Source organism: Homo sapiens, chromosome 9 (assembly GCF_000001405.40).
Source record: "Homo sapiens chromosome 9, GRCh38.p14 Primary Assembly".
Taxonomy (NCBI): Eukaryota; Metazoa; Chordata; class Mammalia; order Primates; family Hominidae; genus Homo; species Homo sapiens.
In genome coordinates, this window is record NC_000009.12 from 132,982,377 (window position 1) to 133,001,657 (window position 19,281).

General features: G+C 54.8%; 1 protein-coding gene across 8 annotated transcripts in view, besides 4 other annotated features; it reads left to right on the forward strand.

Moving 5' to 3' along the window:
- Positions 1 to 11,058, forward strand: part of GFI1B (growth factor independent 1B transcriptional repressor) — a 47,904-nt gene extending 36,846 nt beyond the window's left edge. For 2 of the 8 annotated variants that reach the window (NM_004188.8, NM_001377304.1), the window contains 6 exons: positions 4,283 to 4,402; positions 4,906 to 5,043; positions 5,821 to 6,092; positions 6,685 to 6,822; positions 7,366 to 7,531; positions 8,496 to 9,311. In NM_004188.8, the coding sequence (NP_004179.3) occupies positions 4,303 to 4,402; positions 4,906 to 5,043; positions 5,821 to 6,092; positions 6,685 to 6,822; positions 7,366 to 7,531; positions 8,496 to 8,674 (993 nt within the window). In that variant the 5' untranslated portion in view covers positions 4,283 to 4,302 and the 3' untranslated portion in view covers positions 8,675 to 9,311. Of the gene's footprint in view, positions 1 to 4,282; positions 4,403 to 4,905; positions 5,044 to 5,820; positions 6,093 to 6,684; positions 6,823 to 7,299; positions 7,532 to 8,361; positions 8,464 to 8,495; positions 9,312 to 10,967 lie in introns of those variants that run through there. The other 6 variants (NM_001371908.1, XM_006717297.4, NM_001135031.2 and 3 more) reach the window with 4 other exon arrangements.
- Positions 11,425 to 11,985: an enhancer, noted in NCBI's record as "H3K27ac-H3K4me1 hESC enhancer chr9:135869188-135869748 (GRCh37/hg19 assembly coordinates)". NCBI's record gives its function as "activates a minimal SCP1, AML or CMV promoter by ChIP-STARR-seq in naive H9 embryonic stem cells {active_cell/tissue: H9 hESC(naive)}" and the evidence as "EXISTENCE:reporter gene assay evidence [ECO:0000049][PMID:30033119]".
- Positions 11,986 to 12,546: an enhancer, noted in NCBI's record as "H3K27ac-H3K4me1 hESC enhancer chr9:135869749-135870309 (GRCh37/hg19 assembly coordinates)". NCBI's record gives its function as "activates a minimal SCP1, AML or CMV promoter by ChIP-STARR-seq in naive H9 embryonic stem cells {active_cell/tissue: H9 hESC(naive)}" and the evidence as "EXISTENCE:reporter gene assay evidence [ECO:0000049][PMID:30033119]".
- Positions 16,430 to 17,352: a transcriptional cis regulatory region, noted in NCBI's record as "candidate enhancer chr9.3630 targeted for multiplex CRISPR interference". NCBI's record gives its function as "positively regulates GFI1B gene expression with high confidence in K562 cells {active_cell/tissue: K562}" and the evidence as "EXISTENCE:mutant phenotype evidence [ECO:0000015][PMID:30612741]".
- Positions 18,514 to 19,014: an enhancer, noted in NCBI's record as "H3K4me1 hESC enhancer chr9:135876277-135876777 (GRCh37/hg19 assembly coordinates)". NCBI's record gives its function as "activates a minimal SCP1, AML or CMV promoter by ChIP-STARR-seq in primed H9 embryonic stem cells {active_cell/tissue: H9 hESC(primed)}" and the evidence as "EXISTENCE:reporter gene assay evidence [ECO:0000049][PMID:30033119]".

The following is a 19,281-nucleotide window of genomic DNA, read 5'->3' on the forward strand; positions in this document are numbered from 1 at the left end:
CATCACAGGCCTGTTGACCCAAGTCCAACTGGAAGTTAGGGTGCTGGCTCCTGCCAGGGTGCAGGGTCGCCTGTCTTCAAGAAGCACTGACTGAGATTCTGACTCAGGGTCAGGGGGACTCTATCAGGATCGGGGGTTATGGAGTGATAACAGTGAGCCTCTTTCCGGAGGTCCGATACCATCAAGTCCTCTGTTTTATGAAGAATTCCTGAGCTTCTTTCATAATCTCTGCTCTTAGCTCCTTCTCAGAACGGAGTTCATGTCAATCAAAACCAAGTGGTTGTTAATTAACTACAGTATAGGTGATTGGTTCCTGTTTTTTCTTTAAAAAAAAAACAACTCTGCTAACAGGGGCCAAAAGGAAGTTCACCGGGTGCATTTGGCCCCTCTGTGAGCCAGAGGGCTTGGCCGTGGCGTTGGCTGTGTCACTGTCACTTGCCAAGCTCAGGGGAGAGAACACTGGGGGGAGGCAAGAAAGCGGGTGTGGGGCTCAGGGGAGATCACTAGAAGAAGCATGAGAATCACCTTCCTGAGGCTGGAGAACCCCAGAAGCCAGCCCCATCTTGCCCTGTGCCTAAGTGAAAAGTGCTTGGCCAGGGCTCATGAGCGCTAGAAAGTGTCCTTGTTGTGGGGCCCAGGGTTAGAGTCAGTTGACCTGGGTTCTCCTTAGGCCCTGAGCCCAGGAGAATACCAATGCTTCCTGAAGGGAAGTCTGTCCCTGGCCTGGCCCCACCAAGACTCTTCAGGAGCCATGTGGGTCTTTTAGGAGCCTGGAAAAGACTTGAGGGTCAGAGGGTTTGATTTTTCTCCCTCCTTTTTTTTTTTTTTTTTTTTTGAGACAGAGTGTGGCTCTGTCACCCAGGCTGAAGTGCAGTGGTGGTGTGATCTCGGCTCACTGCAACCTCCGCCTCCCGGGTTCAAGCGATTCTCCTGCCTCAGCCTCCTGAGTAGCTGGAACTGTAGGCAAGTGCCACCATGCCCGGCTAATTTTTGTATTTTTTGTAGAGACGAGGTTTCACTGTGTTGGCTAGGCTGGTCTCGAACTCCTGATCTTGTGATCCGTCCGCCTCGGCCTCCCAAAATGTTGGGATTACAGGTGTGAGCCACTGCACCCGGCCTGATTTTTCTCCCCTCTTGCCCCAGCACCCTGCATTTCCCTCTGTGCTGCAGGCGGTGTTCACCGGGTGCTGTGAGGACCTCTGACAGTGCTGGGTGGCACAGTGGCTTGAGAGTAAAATCCTAACAGGCCAGGAGCCCTGGGTCTGAGTCACTTTCCTCTCTGCACCTCAGTTTTCCCACCTGCAACCTGGGAAGACACTGCTTGACACGGGCACACGAGGGAGCTTCAAACTGCTGTTTTCATCCCTAGCACGTCGGCTCCACTCCCTCTGCAGAGAGAAGCCCATGCCGGGCACTGCCCAGCACTTGGCACCCATTCTGCACCGAGTAACTGCCCACCTGCTGGGCTGAAAGTCAAGAGCATGGAGGCCTGGGGCCAGACAGACCCCAGTCCTTCCCTGCTCACTCTGCCCCAGGGTCCTGAGCCCTCCAGGCTTCAGCTCCTTCTTTATAAAATGGGACAGCAGCGGGACTCAGCATCTGGATTAAGCATCAGAATTAAAGGTGTAATAAACAAGGCAGGCTAAGCAGCCCCCTGCCAGAAGGTTTGACCAGCTCCTCTTCTATCACAGAAGCCTTGGCGAGTACCTTTGGTTCTAGTTGATTTCCTCATAAATATTATGCGCAAAAAAGGATCATCTTTTGATATTTTGATAGGCAAACCATGACCCTCACAGGCCCCCTCAAAACAAAGTGCAAGGGGAACCCCACACCCCCAGTCCTCCTCCTGCTCACTGGGTCCCCTCCTCTCCCCCTAGGGTCTGGCCTCCCCATGGGCTTTCTTGAAGCGAAGAAGAGTTAAAAGCGGGAAGGAAGGGGGGTGTGGGGAGCCCTGGTGAGGGAGGGGGAGGAGGCAAGAGGAGGAAGACGTGTCCCTGGGAGATAAGGCCGTGGGCTGCCCCCGGCCCGAGCCTGTGTTCAGAGAGCCGAGAATCTGACCGCGGGAAGGGACCCCAGAGGCCTTCAAGGTCCTTTCTCCTAATTTTAGAGCTCAGAGAGTACAGGGCCTTGAGCGCGGCCCTGGCTTCTGGGAGGCTGCTGCAGCCCTTGGCACAGGGCTTACCCCGTCCTTTGAATGCACCTGCAGTGGGCTGGGTGCTGGGATGCGGGGGAGCACATGCTGAGCACCTCTCACACTCGCTCCTGATGGATAAAGGTCCTTTCTCGCTCCCCACCATCCCATGTGGTTGGATTGGGATCCCCGTTTAGCAGATATGAGCACTGAGGCTCAGTGATGAGCCTTACAGCAGGCAAGGGCTGGGCCTGAGCTTGGCCCCCTGTGCAGAGCCCCCAGTCCAAACTCTTGATGCCCCCAGGCTCTGGGCCAGGGGGAAGCAGGCCTGGGCATAGTCGGGTCCCTCTTCTGCCTGGCTGTGGTTCATCTCCTTGGGGAAGGGGTGAGTCCCTGGCCCTTTTCCAAGCTGCATTCTCTAATCTCCCACCTCCCACCCTGCTCCTGGGCCAAGGCCTTATCACCCAGGCCCTCACTGCTGTTCTGAAGCAGCTGTGATCCCTCTCCCGCCTTCTCCGGACCCTATCACCCCTGCAGCCTTGCATGGCGGCTGGCCCAAGGGGTGGGGGGGTGGGACTCCTCTGACGCCTCAGGCATGGGCCTGGTGTCGGCCTGGGTGCAGCGTGGGGGCAGAAAGGATAGAGGACCACCAGAAGATGCTCTCCAGAGTGCCCGGGGGAACCTCACAGGCTGAGTGCAGGGATGTGAACCATTCTGGGGGCCAGGCAGGGCTCTCAGCTCCAGAGGGCTCTGCAGGGGAAGCCAGGAGTCCTGGGGTGGTCAAGTTGGTCCAGCCCTGTCACTCCCTGACTCTGCCTGGGATGGTCCCTTGACTGATGTGGTCCTTGGTTTCTTCTCCCACTCCCTGACTGGTGGGGTTGGTAGTGATGCTGGGCTGCCCACGGAAGCTGGGGGCTGTTCGCCTCTTCTCCTGTGTCCATGAAGCCTCAGGCCTCCAGGTGCAGTGGAGTTGGGGGTCCTCTCAGGTCTTGAGTCCCCACACCCCACTCCTCAGAGAGAGAAAGCCCCTGTCTCTCTAGGGAACAGACTCTGGGCCAGGGCTGTGGACAAGGCGCAGCCGTGCTCTGGCGGCTGTGGCTTGCGGCTTGCAGGAGCACGTGGATTGGCAATGTCCCCTCGTTTGCTGCAGCTTCTCTGCCAGAGCCCCCAGTGATAGACACTGAACACCTGTGATGCACCTGTCAGCACTGCAAGCCTGGACATCCCCACTTACAGCAAAGGGGATAGGCCCAGAGAGGTTAAGTGTGTGTCCCAAATTGCACAGCAAGTGAACTGAGATTCTAACCCACGAACCACTGATTCCAAAACCTAAGCTCAGACCACCCGTTTCTATGGCCTCTGAAGGTGAATCTCACTGGTACCCAAATGTAGCTTTCTAGAATTGGGGTCCACTGTGTGTCACAGAGGGAGACCCCAGTCCCTGCCTTTCCTTTTCTGCTCCATTGCAGCCCAGGTCATGCCAATGGGAGCAGGCTTGTCTGAGCGTTTTCTAGGGGGCGATGCATTCATTTCCTGGTGAAGGAGCAGTGAGGGAAGTTAGGATTTGTAGCTGCCGTAACAAAATAGCACAAACAGGTGGCTTAAAACCAACAGAAATTTATTCTTTCATGGTTCTGGGATCTAGAAATCCAAAATCGAGGTGTCCGCAAAGTGGGTTCTTTCTGCAGACGCCAGGGGAGAGGGTTTCATGCCCCTCTCTGAGTTCTGGCGGCTGTCGGCACTGCCTGGCATTCTCTGGCTGATAGAAGCTCCGAGTTCTGGCGGCTGTCGGCACTGCCTGGCATTCTCTGGCTGATAGAAGTGTCACTCTCTGCTCTGTTGTCGGCACACGGCGTTCTCCCTGGGTGTCTGTGTCTCTGGGTCCAAATTTCCATCTTCTTATAAGGACACGAGTCATCTTGGATTGAGGGCCCATCCTAACCCGGAATGACCTCATCATAACTTGATTACATCTGCAAAAACACCCTATTGCTAATAAGGTCACATTCACAGGTTCTGGGTGGACATGAACTTTGGGGGCCACTGTTCAACCCAGTATAGCTGGTGTTTTATCTCAGGAGGAGGTTCTGAGATATGGAGGGGTATTGTTCTCTTGTCCTTCCTAACCGCTCCCATCCCTCCCCCTTGCAGGTGTGGGGTGCACACTGAAAATGCCACGCTCCTTCCTGGTGAAGAGCAAGAAGGCTCACACCTACCACCAGCCCCGTGTGCAGGAAGATGAACCGCTCTGGCCTCCTGCCCTTACCCCGGGTGAGTCAGAGCCCGGGCTGGCGCCTGCTGCACCCACGGGGGGCTCTCTGCTCTGCGTGATGAGGGTGCAGCAGCGTCCCTCCTGCAGCAGCCTCTTCTTCCAAGTCTGGAAACAGGAGTGCAGTAACTGTGGGTTGCAGATGAAAGGAGTAGACAAATGAGTGATGCCCTCATCCCTTCTGCCCTGTTAGGGAGACGAGAGTGTCAGGTTGGAGCCAGTACTTAGTTACTGGCATGTGGGGCCTCACTGGAGGCCCAGTCTAGGGCTGGAGTTGGGTTGCTCAGAAAAACAGACTGGTCCAAAGTCTTCCCCGGGGTCTCCTCCTGGCCTCTTCTTGCCGCCGCCTGCTCTGGGCAGAGCCCGGGAGTGTGAGCCGCCAGAAGCAGCGGCACGTGGCTGTCTCTCTGGGCCTCCTCCTCCTAGGAAGGGCGTGCCCTCCTTGCTCCCTCTGGGCTTCCCAGAAACCGTGGCTATTGATGCTGATGGTCCTATCTCCCCACAGTGCCCAGAGACCAGGCTCCAAGCAACAGCCCTGTCCTTAGCACTCTATTCCCAAACCAGTGCCTGGACTGGACCAACCTCAAACGAGAGCCGGAGCTGGAGCAGGACCAGAACTTGGCCAGGATGGCCCCGGCACCAGGTACCCCGCTGTGACCCACTGTCATTCCCCAGGGAGTGCCAAGGGGAGGAAGGATGAAGGGACTCTTGCAGCAGGGCCCCTTGGGGCCCTGGAGTCAGGAAGGACCCACGAAGTCACTGGATGCAGCCCGGGCTCTGTGGCTTCTGCTTGGGCCTCTCAGACAGGGAGCTAATTCCCGGATGTGGGCTAGGTGGGAGAAGAGGCCAGAAGCAGCAGCTGGGCCGGTCCGTGCAGGGAGTGAGGTGGGCACTGTGGAGTGAGGCTGGGGGTGTCTCTGGGCTGGAAAAGCTGAGGAGCCACAGTGAGGACCCAGACATTCCTGGCAGTAAGTATCTGGGTTGACACCCTGAAACCCTCCACATGAGGTGATGAAGGTAGTGGTGTGTGGTAGAGGGTGGTGGGAAGGGGGTGCCCTGTGTTTATTTTATTTCATTTTATTTTTTGAGACAGTGTCTCACTCTGTTGCCCAGGCTGGAGTGCAGTGGCACGATCTCAACTCACTGCAACCTCTGCCTCCCAGGTTCAAGCAATTCTCCTGCCTCAGCCTCCCTAGTAGCTGGGATTATAGGCGTGAGCCACCACGCCTGGCTAATTTTTGTATTTTTTGGTAGAGACAGAGTTTCACCACGTTGGTCCGCCTGGTCTTGAACTCCCGACCTCAAGTGACCCACTTGCCTCAGCCTCCCAAAGTGCTGGAATTGCAGGCATGAGCCACGCCACTGTGCCCAACCCCCTGTGTTTAAATGAGTAACCAGGCCTGTGTCGTTATCTCCACAGAGGGCCCCATTGTGCTGTCCCGACCCCAGGATGGGGACTCTCCACTGTCCGACTCACCCCCATTCTACAAGCCTAGCTTCTCCTGGGACACCTTGGCCACAACCTATGGCCACAGCTACCGGCAGGCCCCCTCCACCATGCAGTCAGCCTTCCTGGAGCACTCCGTCAGCCTGTACGGCAGTCCTCTTGTGCCCAGCACTGAGCCCGCCTTGGACTTCAGCCTCCGCTACTCCCCAGGCATGGATGCGTACCACTGTGTGAAGTGCAACAAGGTGGGCAGCGGGGGGTGTGGTGGGCACCTGGGCCCTCCTCTCCGCACTCCCTCTCAACTCACTGGCAGCTCTGGGCGTTCTCTGTGCTGTGAATGTTGGGGCTCTGGTGGGATTAAGGATTCAAAACGTTCATCCTCATCACCATTCATTGAGCTCTGACCACGTGCCTGGCCCTGTGCTAAGCAATTGACAGGCATGAGTGCCAGAGTCAGATGAAAGGTTAAGGTTCAGAGAGGTTAAGTCACTTTTCCAGGATCAGACAGCAAGTAGATATCAGAACCAGCATTCAAACCCAGCTTCGGCCAACTCCCAGCTCTTAACCACTGGGCTATTCAGCCTCTAGATGAGGCAAGGAGGGGCCTCCAGATCCCCTCTCTCACATCCAACTTTGTAGAAGGGAGACTGAGCCACAGAGAGGCAAACGGACCTCCCTGGGACACACAGCAAGCAAGCAGCAGAACTGGCAATCCAGTGCCCCTTACTCTGTGTACCCAGCCTTGGCCAGAGCTGGGCATGGAAGAGACCATGGGACCCCAGGCCTGTCCCTGTCACCGCAGCCCCCAGTGGCCTCACATGCTGCCCCTGCTCCCAGGTCTTCTCCACCCCTCACGGGCTCGAAGTGCATGTGCGACGCTCCCATAGTGGGACCCGGCCCTTCGCCTGTGACATCTGCGGCAAAACCTTCGGCCACGCTGTGAGCCTGGAGCAGCACACGCACGTCCACTCCCAGGTGGGCACCTGGCCCAGCGCAGGACTCCCAGCCCCACTCCTTCTCTGTGCTTCCCCAGGGAGCCTGGGGGCTGTGGCTGGGTCCCTCCCCCTGCCCCTGGGGGTGACACAGATTGGGAGGGGTCCCCTAGTACCCACCTCCCTGGGTCTGGGTCTCCAACACCTGCCCTTAACAAACTTCAGACTCTTAACTAAACCACCGTGCAGACCACAACCATCCCTGCCTCAAGGAACTCACTCTAGGTTAATGGTCATGAAATGTGAACCCCTAAAGAACCTCTGAGATCAGTCAGTCCATCAGTCAATCAACGAACATTTATTGAGGTTTATTTTGAGCGGGATACCGTGAAGATTACAAGGAAAAATCCCACAGGAGACCAATGAGACTCCAAGCCCCAGTTTCACCTCAGAGGCAGAGATGAGGGGTCCCCCGGTCCTGCTCCTCCAGGCCGCCCCAATGGAGTGTCCTGTTCCGCAGGGGATCCCGGCCGGGTCCAGTCCTGAGCCTGCACCTGACCCCCCGGGGCCTCATTTCCTCCGGCAGGAGCGCAGCTTCGAGTGCCGCATGTGCGGCAAGGCCTTCAAGCGCTCGTCCACGCTGTCCACCCACCTGCTCATCCACTCAGACACGCGGCCCTACCCCTGCCAGTTCTGCGGCAAGCGTTTCCACCAGAAGTCCGACATGAAGAAGCACACCTACATCCACACAGGTGAGTGAGTCTCACCTGCCTGTGCCCCCTGGGCAGAGCACCCCCACCTTTCCCTGAGAGATGCATCAGAGGCCCCCAGCGTGAGGCTGGGGGCGGGGTCTAGTTACAAAGTCAAAGGCCACTGCTGATGGAGGGCTGGGCACCTGTGCTACTTAAGTGCACTTAATGCATGGAAAAAAATACAGGGAGGAAACAGCAAAATCTCAACACTGTTGATCTCATGGCAGACATGAGACTAGCAGGCGAACTGCTCATTCATTTGTTCACTCATTCACTCACTCACTTGCTCATTCATTTGTTCACTCATTTGCTCATTTATTCACACATTCGCTCACTCATTTGCTCATTCATTTGTTCACTCATTCATTCATTTGCTCATTCATTTGTTCACTCATTCATTTGCTCATTCATTTGTTCAGTCATTCATTCATTTGTTCACTCATTTGCTCATTCATTTGTTCACTCATTCATTCATTTGTTCACTCATTTGCTCATTCATTTGTTCACTCATTCATTCATTTGTTGATTCATTTGTTCACTCATTCACTCATTTGCTCATTTATTCACACATTCGCTCACTCATTTGCTCATTCATTTGTTCACTCATTCATTTGCTTATTCATTCCTTCACTCATTCATTCACTTGCTTATTCATTGCCTCCTTGCTATTAGCTGAGTGCCTCTTTTGTGCCAGGTATACCAGGCTTGGAGATGTATTGATAAACAAGATGACTCGGCAGCTGCCCCTAACCACCCTATAATCCAGTAGGGGTGGAGGAGGGTCCAAGTTGTATCTTTGCTTCTCTCTCTTTTCTAATTATTTTCTAAAGTGAATGTGAGTTGGCCATGAGAGAAAACACAGGAAGGTATTGGAAAATGAACCCGGGGGCAGGGCAGGGGAGCAGCAGGCCTGGTGAGGAGGCCCTGACCCCGCCCTTGCTGTGCTGCGCTGCCCTCCCTGCAGGTGAGAAGCCGCACAAGTGCCAGGTGTGCGGAAAGGCCTTCAGCCAGAGCTCCAACCTCATCACCCACAGCCGCAAGCACACAGGCTTCAAGCCCTTCAGCTGTGAGCTGTGCACCAAAGGCTTCCAGCGCAAGGTGGACCTGCGGCGGCACCGCGAGAGCCAGCACAATCTCAAGTGAGGCTGCGCCGGCTCCCAGCTCCTGGCCAGCCTGCCCTGCGGTCCTGTCACCTGGAGGCCAGCCTCACATGCCCAAATCTCCAGTCTCCTGGAGGTGGGACTGGACAGGAGTCTACCAGCTTGTTTTGAGACTCATGAAATTGCTGTGTGACCTTGGGCAAGTCACTTACCCTGTCTGGATCAACATTTCTCCTGCTGCCAAGTGTGGGAGCCTGGCTGGGTCTTTCTCAGCAGAAGTTGTTTCCAGGTGTGCTCAAGTGCCTTCCTCTAGCAGAGCACAGAAAGCTAGAATACCCCCAGGGAGACAGGGATGCCAAGAGTAGACCAGAGCTGGGACCCACAGACAGAACCTCCACCTGCCTGCTGCCCACTGAGCTGGGACCTGGTCACCTTGGATTTTAGCCGGCCTCTTTCTGGCTATAACAGGCAGAGTCGGAGCTGCCTCCCACCCCAGTCAGAAGCCTGGCACCCCCTCTGCTTCGGCCAGATGTGCTGGCTGACTCCGACTTCCGACCAGCACTCAGCTGGCCTCTGGGGATTCTAGCTCCACAACCAGGCCGTGAGGCTGGAGAAACTGGCAGTTATTGCTGTCAAAAGCCTGTTCTCTCAACTGCTGTCAATAAAATTAAAGATACAGATTTGCTGCCATGTGACCAGCATTTATTAAGTGCCTATGAGGTCCAGGGTACTGCACGAGGCTTTGGGGAGTGATGCGGGGAGGCTTGAGGAGCAGAGAAAGCCATGGAGGTGCTCATAGGCAAGTTGTGGAGAAGTGTACTCAGCCCCCACGTGCACAGACCCGCTGACGAGCCAGGAGCAAGCAGAAGGGGCCCGTGCGACAAGACCACAGGGGTGGGCAAGGCTAGTGCAGCTGGGGCGGTATCCGTTTCCTGTGGCTGCTGTGACAAATGACCACAAACTTAGTGGCTTAAAACAACACACATTTATTCTCTTAAATTCTAGAGGCCAGAAACTCAAAATGAGTCTCATGGGGCTAACATCAAGGTGTTAGCAGGACTGCATTCCTGCAGCAGGCTCCCAGGAGAGTCTGTTTTCCTGTCTCTCACCTTCCCAAGGCCGTCTGTGCCTCTGATCTTGGCCCCTTCCTCTGCCTTCAAAGCACATAACTTGGATCTCTGCTTCTGCCTCCATCTCTGTCTTCTGCTTTCAACCTTCTTGCCTCTCTCTTATAAAGACCCTTCTGATTACACTGAGCTCAGGTATAAATCATCCCATCTCAAGATCCTGAACGTAATCACCGTGATTGGCTGAATAATGGCCCCAAAGATGATATCCACATCCTAACCCTGGAACCTATGAGTGTGACGCTATAGGGTAAAAGGGACTTTGCAGGTGTGATGAAGCTGAGCCTGGTGCCACACCTGTCTAGCTGTGTGACTTCAGGTGAGTTCCTGAACCTCTCTGGGGCTCAGCTTCCTCCTCTGTAAAATGGTAAACACAGCAGTCCCTTCCACCGATTCGCTGAGACCATTCTTACAAAGTGGCATACAGGTCCAGCCCAGCACGTAGTAAGTGCTGCCGAGTTGTGAACATTCCTTTTTGAAGTCCTGTCCATCCTACAAGGCCCACTTAGCCATCTCCTCCATGAAGCCTCCCTGGGTCATCCAGCCAGAAGGTCTTCTCTCTCCTCTGATACCGAGCAACTCAGTCTCTTTGCTTACAGCTTAGGAGCCATTGAATGTGGAATGCAGTTATGTGTGGATAACTTCAGGAGGTCTTCTGTCTGAGCTCCAGCCGCACCCCACCCCCCATCCCACACCAATCCTGTGCCTGGCCCACAGCCATGGACACCTCTGAATGAACTTGCAGGTACTGAGCTAAGCCAAGGGTTTCCATACATTGTCTCTAACCCACACAACCTTCTGCAATGGAATGCCATTCTCCCATTTTACAGATGGGGCAACTGAGGCCCAGAGAGGTCAAACATAAAAAAAAAACACAGATATGGGCCAGGCGCTCACGCCTGTAATCCCAGCACTTTAGGAGGCTGAGGCGGGCAGATCACTTGAGGTCAGGAGTTCGAGACCAGCCTGGCCAACATGGTGAAACCCTGTCTCTATTAAACATACAAAAATTAGCTGGGCATGGTGGCGCGTGCCTGTAAACCCAGCTACTTGGGAAGCTGAGGCAGGAGAACTGCTTGAACCTGGGAGGTGGAAGTTGCAGTGAGCCGAGATGTTGTCGTTGCACTCCAGCTCTGGGCAACAGAGCAAGACTCCATCTCGGAAACAAACAAACAAACAAACATAGATACTAGGGCTTACCCTTTCCAGGTGTGCTCAGGTGCCTTCCTCTAGCAGAGCACAGAAAGCTGGAATACCCCCAGGGAGACAGGGATGCCAAGAGTAGACCAGAGCTGGGACCCACAGAGAGACCCTCTTTCCTAGAGAAAGAAGGATTCTTTCCAAAGAAACGCCACTATCGTCCGATGGTTTCTGTCGGTTCATGAACTGACTTGTTTAACGTGTATTTGATTGCATGCCAACTTATGAGGCTCAACCTGTCATGAAATGGCAAATGTCCCATGCAAACGCCCAATTCGCATCCATTGTGGGCAGCTCAAACCTGGGTCAAACTAGAAGCTGTTCAATGGATCATCAGGGGAGTGAGTGACAAGTCCTCAGACTCATGTTCGTGGTTCCAGAGAGGCCCACAGAGCCGGCTGGACATGCCTCAGACCCGTTCTGGTGCTCCCCAGGCGTGCGCCACAAGCCTCCGGGGGTTCGTTTGCTTTAGACGGAGTAGAGATCACATTGCTCAAATAACTGGGAGGAACTCTGGGTTAACGTTCAGTCTATTGCAACTGCTTCTTAGAGCCTATAACGTGTGATACGCATGTGTCCATCCCCAAGGGGAGGATTTGGGTGTTCAGTGTTTTCCTAAGGTTAATTTGGGAACCAGAGAGGGAGAGGGAGAGGTTGGCCTACTTGCCCAAAGTCACACAGCAGGTAAAGGCAGGACTGGGATCAGAAACTGATTCCGAGTTGAGGCTATCTTTTTGGAGTCTGTGTACTCTCCCTCCCACTGAAACCCAAAAGTGTTTCTTCCAGGTCTCTTCTCTGGTGTGCAAGGGGCTTGGGCCCCCAAGAGGAATGGAACTCTCACCCACCCCCAGGCTCTGCATTTGGCTAGGCAGAATCCTGACATCCATTTCCTGCCAGAAGCTCTTCCTGTTTCCTTTAGCCAGAATTCCTCTAAGCAAACCTGTCAGGTGTGCGGGGTGGGCTCGGGGCTCGGGATTTGCATGGGAGGGTGGTCCCGTCTCCTCAGCAAGCTCCCTGTCGGTGTCCTGTCTTGAAATCCAGCTCTTGGAATCAGGAGAAGAGGGACCCTGGTGGCCAGAGCACCAGAGCCAGCAAAGCCTTAGAAACCACCTGTTCCCACCTCTCCTCCTGTCCAGGAGGACAGAGAAGCCCAGAGAGGGGAAGGGCCTTGCCCACAGCCACACTTCTGGGGCCAGGCCTGGAATGGGCTCCTGACTCATCTCTTACACACACATGCACACATGCACACACACGGATTGGGAGCTGCTTTGCATACTCCCTGTTTGCTAAACAAAACCAAACCAGTATCGGGATTTCAGCCACTTCTGCAGCAGGGCGGGGCAAGGCGGAGGAGCTGAGCTGTGAGGGGAAGCCAGACAATGTTCCTTCTTTGTCGACTGAGGTTTGGCGAGATCGAGATTAAGCTTGTCGGGCTCCTCCAGTGAGTGGGTGTGTGGGGTGGCGCCAGCGGAAGGCCACAGCAGCCTCAGAGCAGTGGGGGCTGGAACCCCATTTGCATACAGCAGAGAAAGAGGGCAGGTAGTGGGGAAGCCTGTGACACCTGCTTCCAGGGGAAGATTCTGCACTGGCTGGGAAGGCTTGGCTTGGGCTTCCTGGCCCTGCTGAGTCCGTGGATTGGGGCTCGGGGGTTGCTGTGAGCCAGAGGGCGGTGCTGCTGACCCTTCCTCATGCCTGAGAAGCTGCTGCAGGCTGGCCTCATGTGCAGAGCTGGGAGCCCCTAGGAGAAGGCAGCCCTGGAGAAGACTTGGATGGGCCCCAGTGGGACAGAGTTCCCTGGATGTTCCGTCTCCTTCTGGATGCAGAGGCTATGCCCATGACACTGGGGCGGGGAGGTGGCCCAGGAGGTGCTGTGGGGCACCACCCACCTGCAGTCTGTGATTTCAGGGAAGTTCAAGCTCCCCCACCAATTCTCCACTTCCCGTCAGCTCCCTGCGGCCAACTACCTGGCCTGCAATTCCTGCCACCGGAGTTGCAATGTGACCTGGAAGGCACTGTCCAGCCCTGTGGAGACTGTCCGTGGCTTCCATGTGCCACACAAGGAAACAGAGGCCCAGAGAGGAGAGGTGCTAGCCCAAGGTCACATTGCCATTAACAGCATAGTACGACAGAACCCAGGTTTTCCAGCCCCAGTCTAGTGGCCGTCCTAGCAGGGCCTCTGGGTTGCCTGACTCCAGGGTGCTCCATGTGCATAGAATACGGTGTAAATGGTGTTGGTGGGGTGGGTGGCTGGGTGGGGTGGAAGCGTTCCTTAGACTGTGGCACTGACCCCCTGCTTCCAAGGATTGAATGGGGACTCGTGAGACCTCAGGATGCTGCTGGTGACATGACCCAGAATATCAGTTTACTCCATGGTAATTAACAAAACCAATATTTTAATATCAAAACTAGCCAGCCACATTAGGGAGTGGAATGTAACATCTGAATTAATTTTCAGATAAAATGTCCTGTTCGTGGTGACAGCTTCAGGCTACACTGCAGGCCCTGCACCCCGCATTCCCTCTGGATGCAGGAGAAGCCCCTCTTCCAAGCAGGCCACATCCCACAGGGCAACCAGGCCCAGGGCCAGGGCCTCCTGAGGGACAGACTGAGAGGTGCCCAGTGAGCCCGCCATGGAAATCACTGATAAGGATGGAAATGCATCTCCCAGGGTGAGCCTGGAGATTTGTGCGTGTGTGCACTCACACACATGTGTTGGCCCCAGCCTGTCTCTATCTGCCCGACTGGAGTGAGCTGGCCTGGAAGCGGGGTGGACAGACCGAGGTAAGGAGGCAGGGACCGGGCACTCGGGCTATAGGGAAGTGGAAGTAAACAGGGTTCTGTATGATCCAGAAGATCAGGACCTGTCCTGAAGGTTCCCTGGAGATCAGACATCCCCCACCCCATCGCCTAGAGAACTGAGCCCCAGCCCCAGCTGCTCACCATGACCTAGCCTTCAGGGCTGACCCCAGTCCCCTGACTTCAAACCCCTCTCTGCAATCCCTGCCCTATGGGGGCTCCCACTCAGTGTGGTGTGGGTGAAGGCTGTTCCACGGGAAGGAACCGAGAACACAGAAGAATCTGGGCTGGCCAGAAGTGAGAAGGAAGCAGGAAGGAGTGCAGGGAGTGGGCACAGCATGGCACACGCTGTGCATCAGGGGAGACTGAAGACCCCCAGGAGTTCTTAAAGGCATTGCAGCCGTTGACTTATGGGCCCGAAGCCCCGAGGGAGCTGCTATGACATGGGCTGAGCTTTAGAAGGAAGACCCAGGTGGGTGTGCAGTGCGGCCTGGGGGCACAGAGCAGGGGCACTGGCTGGAGGCCGGTCTTGTCAGTATCAGGAGCGACAGCAGCTCCAGCCTCAGTGTCAGTCTGGCCTGGGCTCTCCCTGCTACCCTGTTGAGGCTGCTCAGGGAGGGGAGGGCGGCCCGGCCCTGGATGGAGGGCGGGACCCAGAAGAGTGAGGCCCCACCCCACCCCGCGTCCTGGGGTCACTGGACAAGCAGCAGGGCCCTTCTTGCTATTCCTAAATGTTCTCAAGAGAACTCAATGCTGTTTCCCACCCTCGAGCCTTTGCCCCTCGTGTTCCCTCTGCCTGAAATGCCCTCTTCTTGTTCTGAACCCTCTCAGGCTTAAGTCAAGTTCATAAGAAAAGCTTTTGAAATGTGATCGCCCATGACCCTCCATTCCACTCCTAGGAATGTATCTTCAAGAAATAGATATGGGACGGGCACAGTGGCTCACATCTATCATCACAGCATTTTGCAAAGCCCAAGTGGGAGGATTGCTTGAGCCCAGGAGTTCAAGACCAGCCTGGGCAACATAGCCAGATCCCTTCTCCACCAAAAAAAAAATTGGCCAAGAGCAGTGGCTCACACCTGTAATCCCAGCACTTTGGGAGGCCGAGGCGGGTGGATCATGAGGTCAGGAGTTCGAGACCAGGCTGGCCAACATGGTGAAACCCCGTATCTACTAAAAATACAAAAAAAAAAAAAAATTAGCTGGGTGTGGTAGCGGGCGCCTGTAATCCCAGCTACTCAAGAGGCTGAGGCAGGAGAATTTCTTGAACCCGAGAGGCGGACCTGAGAAGCAGAGGTTGCAGTGAGCCGTGATCATGCCATTGCACTCCAGGCTGAGTGACAGAGCAAGACTCCGTCTCAAAAAAAAAAAAAGTTGAGAAGTAATTACTGATGGGAATGTAGATTCAGCTGCAAGAGCATCTTTGCAGCCTGTTTATAATGGCAAAAAAAAGAAAGAAAGAAAGAAAGAAATCAGAACCATCCTAATGCCCATGGGAGGAGGCTGGCCAAGCCGTTGGTGCAACAGATGACCACATGGCCAGGAAGAAGAGCAAGCATGCTTTAGAAGACCTGACCCGGGGAGGAGTTTATCAGGCTGATGTGGAGTGAGGAATGCATGTGGCATGCTAGCATGCGGGTTCTGTAAGCCTCTGTCTGTGTATGCTTAGTAAAACACAGCTGAAGAAAGTCCACAAAACCATTGACCGCAGTTATTTCTGGGGGCTGGAACAGAGGGTTAAATTTCACTCTCAGTGCCACCTTTAAAAGAGACTTGTGACTGGGCATGGTGGCTCATGCCTGTAATCCCAGTGCTTTGGGAGGCCAAGGTAGGTGGATCACTTGAGGTCAGGAGTTTGAGACCAGCCTGGCCAACATGGTGAAACCTCATCTCTACTAAAAATACAAAAATTTGGCCGGGTGCGGCAGCTCACGCCTGTATTCCCAGCACTTAGGGAGGCCGAGGCGGGCGGATCACGAGGTCAGGAGATTGAGAACATCCTGGCTAACACAGTGAAACCCCATCTCTACTAAAAATACAAAAATTTAGCCGGGCATGGTGGCGGGCGCCTGTAGTCCCAGCTACTCGGGAGGCTGAGGCAGGAGAATGGTGTGAACCTGGGAGATGGAGCTTGCAGTGAGCCGAGATTGTGCCACTGCACTCCAGCCTGGGCAACAGAGCAAGACTCTGTCTCAAAAAAAAAAAAAAATTTGGTGGGCTCCTGTAATCCCAGCTACTCGGGAGGCTGAGGCATGAGAATCACTTGAACCCCAGAGGTAGAGGTTGCAGTGAGTAGAGATTGCGCCACTGCACTCCAGCCTGGGCAACAGAGCAAGACTCCATCTCAAACTTTTTTTTAAAGAGACTTGGCGTTTGTTGCAGATTTTTGGTAACTAAAAAATAGAAGAGAAAATAATTTTGCAGAATAAATGTATTGATAGAGGAAGCTATTGATATCTTAAGTGAAAATGAGGTTTAAAAAATCAGTATACAACCCATGATTCATGTTGTTAATTACATACACACACACACACACACACACACGGAAGGAAGTGTGCAAGGATAAACGGCAGTGTCTTTTTTCTTCTTATTTTTTAGTGTGTATGTTTTATTTTTCTGTATTGGGCGTGCATGATAACATTATCACTGGCATGACAAAAAAGACTCTGTCTGCTGAAATATGATTTCCCGGCCTTGAGGTTTGTGTCTCTGTCCCCTCCCTCAAAGCTGCAGGTCCCTTCAGGCCCCTCTAGTGCAGTGCAGAGCCTTGCAGGCAGGTGACTTTTTACTTTACAAGTGCTGGCTGTCTCGCCCCCACCCTGCTACTCTGTGAGCCACCTCCTGGCAGATGCTGGGTCCTATCCTTTGGGGCCAGGGCCTACTAGGTCCCCAGTAAGTTTAGGATGGGTATGCAACCTCCCGACTCCTTCTTAGCAGCTGGGGCAGGGCCTCCAAGGTAGGTAGAGTGACAGCCTGGTTTGGGAACAGTGGGGTGGACACTGGACCTGTGACTTCTCACAGGGTCCCCAGCTCTTCCTCTGGTCTGGGTCAGGGGCTGTCCGGGACCACCTCCATGGGTGTCTAGCTGGAGTTGGGCCTGGCCCGGAGACAGGCAGGACCCAGGGTTCCCGGGGGATGGGGGCTGCAGGGATGCTGCGGGAGGGAAATCTGAGGCAGGGCATGTTCCGACCCGGCATGCTCAGGTTTGGCCTGATAAGTTTATCGCACGGTGCCGGCTGCCAACCGTCGGTGTGGAGTAGAACCATGGGCCAAGCAGGAGGGCACTCCTGAGCCGATAGCGCCTTCCAAGTGTTATCAGGGGCCTGGTGGCCCAGAGAGCGGGAGAAAGGGACCAGAGGAGGGAGAGAGAGAGAGAGTGAGGGAGAGAGACAGACACAGACAGAGAGAGAGAAAGAGAGAGAGAGAGAGACTTCCACCCACTTCACTCAAAGGACAAGCTGGGGAGGAAGAGGCCTCCGAGGTTCCTCAGGGGTCCTTGACGTCCCAGCCTTGAGCCACTGCAGTGGGGAATCAGCCCCGGGCAGGCACAGGCTGAAGACCCCATCAAACCCAGGCATAGCCTTCCAGATCACCAGACAATGCTGCCACTACTCAGCTCTTCCGCAAGACCTAGGGAAAAAACTCCCTTTCCTGGAAGGTCCTGGGGCTCCAGGATGCACGTGGAAATCCCTGGGAGCAGGAGGGCCAGGCAGCCGGGGGCTGCTTCTTTAATTACTTGAACCCCATTCCATCCCACCCCAACCCTTTTCCTCCCTAACCCCAAGCCCCAAGGCCTCGGGTGAGAGTCAGGCTCAGGTTATCTTTTGTGAGTCCCTCTGGGGTGTCCAGCCTGGCACTTGTCTCCATCCAGGGAGGCACGGCTTTCCAACATTACACCCCTCCTCATGACTGGGGAAACTGAGTCTGAGAGTGAGCAGGAGAGCAGGCAGGGGGGCAAGGACCCAGGAGACCAGGAGGAAGAAGAGCAGGAAGAGAAGGGAAAGCTGGGAGGTTCCACGCCCACCCTGAGGTCTGGAGGTCCGACAAGTGCTTCGTGATCTGCAAGGAAAAGTCGCACATGAGGCAATGCCTCCCAGCCCTAAGTGCAGCCACAGGGCAGCCTGGTCCTCAGCTGTGCACAGCCACCTGGCGGGGGGAGGCAGGCGCCGGCATCCACAGGGTTATCTTTGTGGGGTGGATTTTTAAGTCCTTTTGTTTGTTTGTTTTTGTTTTGTTTTGTTGAGATGGAGTCTCACTCTGTCACCCAGGCTGGAGTGCAATGGCGTGATCTTGGCTCACTGCAGCCTCCACCTCCTGGGTTCAAGCGATTCTCCTGCCTCAGCCTCCCTGGGTAGCTGGGATTACAGGTACCCACTGCCATGCCTGGCTAATTTTTGTACTTTTAGTAGAGATGGGGTTTCACCGTGTTGGTCAGGCTGGTCTCAAACTCCTAACCTCAAGTGATCCACCTGCCTCGGCCTCCCAAAGTGCTGGGATTACAGATATGAGCCACCACGCCCACCTAAGTCCCTTTTATATACATATATACAGTTTTCCGTGGTTTCTATAACAACAATGTTTTGGGGGAGGGCGTGGGGAAAGAAAGGTGATTTGTTCATTTGTTTTAAGAGGCAGAGAAGGAAAAGGCATTGCTACCAAGGCTCTCTGACCTGGTGGGAACGGTCCCAGCCCAGGATCAGTCTGTAGGTGCCCACCTCTGCCAGCCTGGGGTGCAAGCAGAGGGCCATGCCAGTGTCTGCAGAGCCAGCAGTGTGTCCCCTGGAGTCATGTATGAGAGACTGCACCCAGGACCCTCACAGAGGCACAAAGACCACCCTGACAGGTCAGAAATCTTTCATTCATCAACTCCTATATCTATCGAGTGCCTGCCACAGGTGGTGAGGATCGGGCCGAGGGGAAAACAGACGAAATCCCCGCCCTCTTGGAGCTCAGCGGGGATGCAGAGACTAAACAAAGCCAGGAGAAACAGAATGCAGAGAAGCCGGGCGTGGTGGCCCGTGCCTGTAATCCCTGCACTTGGGAGGCAGAAAGGGGTGGATCACCTGAGGTCAGGAGTTCGAGACCAGCCTGACCAACATGGCGAAAACCCATAACTATTAAAAATACAAAAATTAGGCCAGGTGCGGTGGCTCACACTTGTCATCCCAGCACTTTGGGAGGCTGAGGCAGGCGGATCACCTGAGGTCGGGAGTTCGAGACCAGCCTGACCAACATGGAGAAACCCTGTCTCTACTAAAAATACAAAATTAGCCTGGCATGGTGGTGCATGCCTGTAATCCCAGCTACTCGGGAGGCTGAGGCAGGAGAATCACTTGAACCCAGGAGGCAGAGGTTGCGGTGAGCTGAGATCGTGCCATTGCACTCCAGCCTGGGCAACAAGAGTGAAACCCCATCTCAAAAAAAAAAAAAAAAAAAAAAGTTAGCAGGGCGTGGTAGCCGGTGCCTGTAATCCCAGCTACTCTGGGGGCTGAGGCAGGAGAATCACTTGAACCTGTGAGGCAGAGGT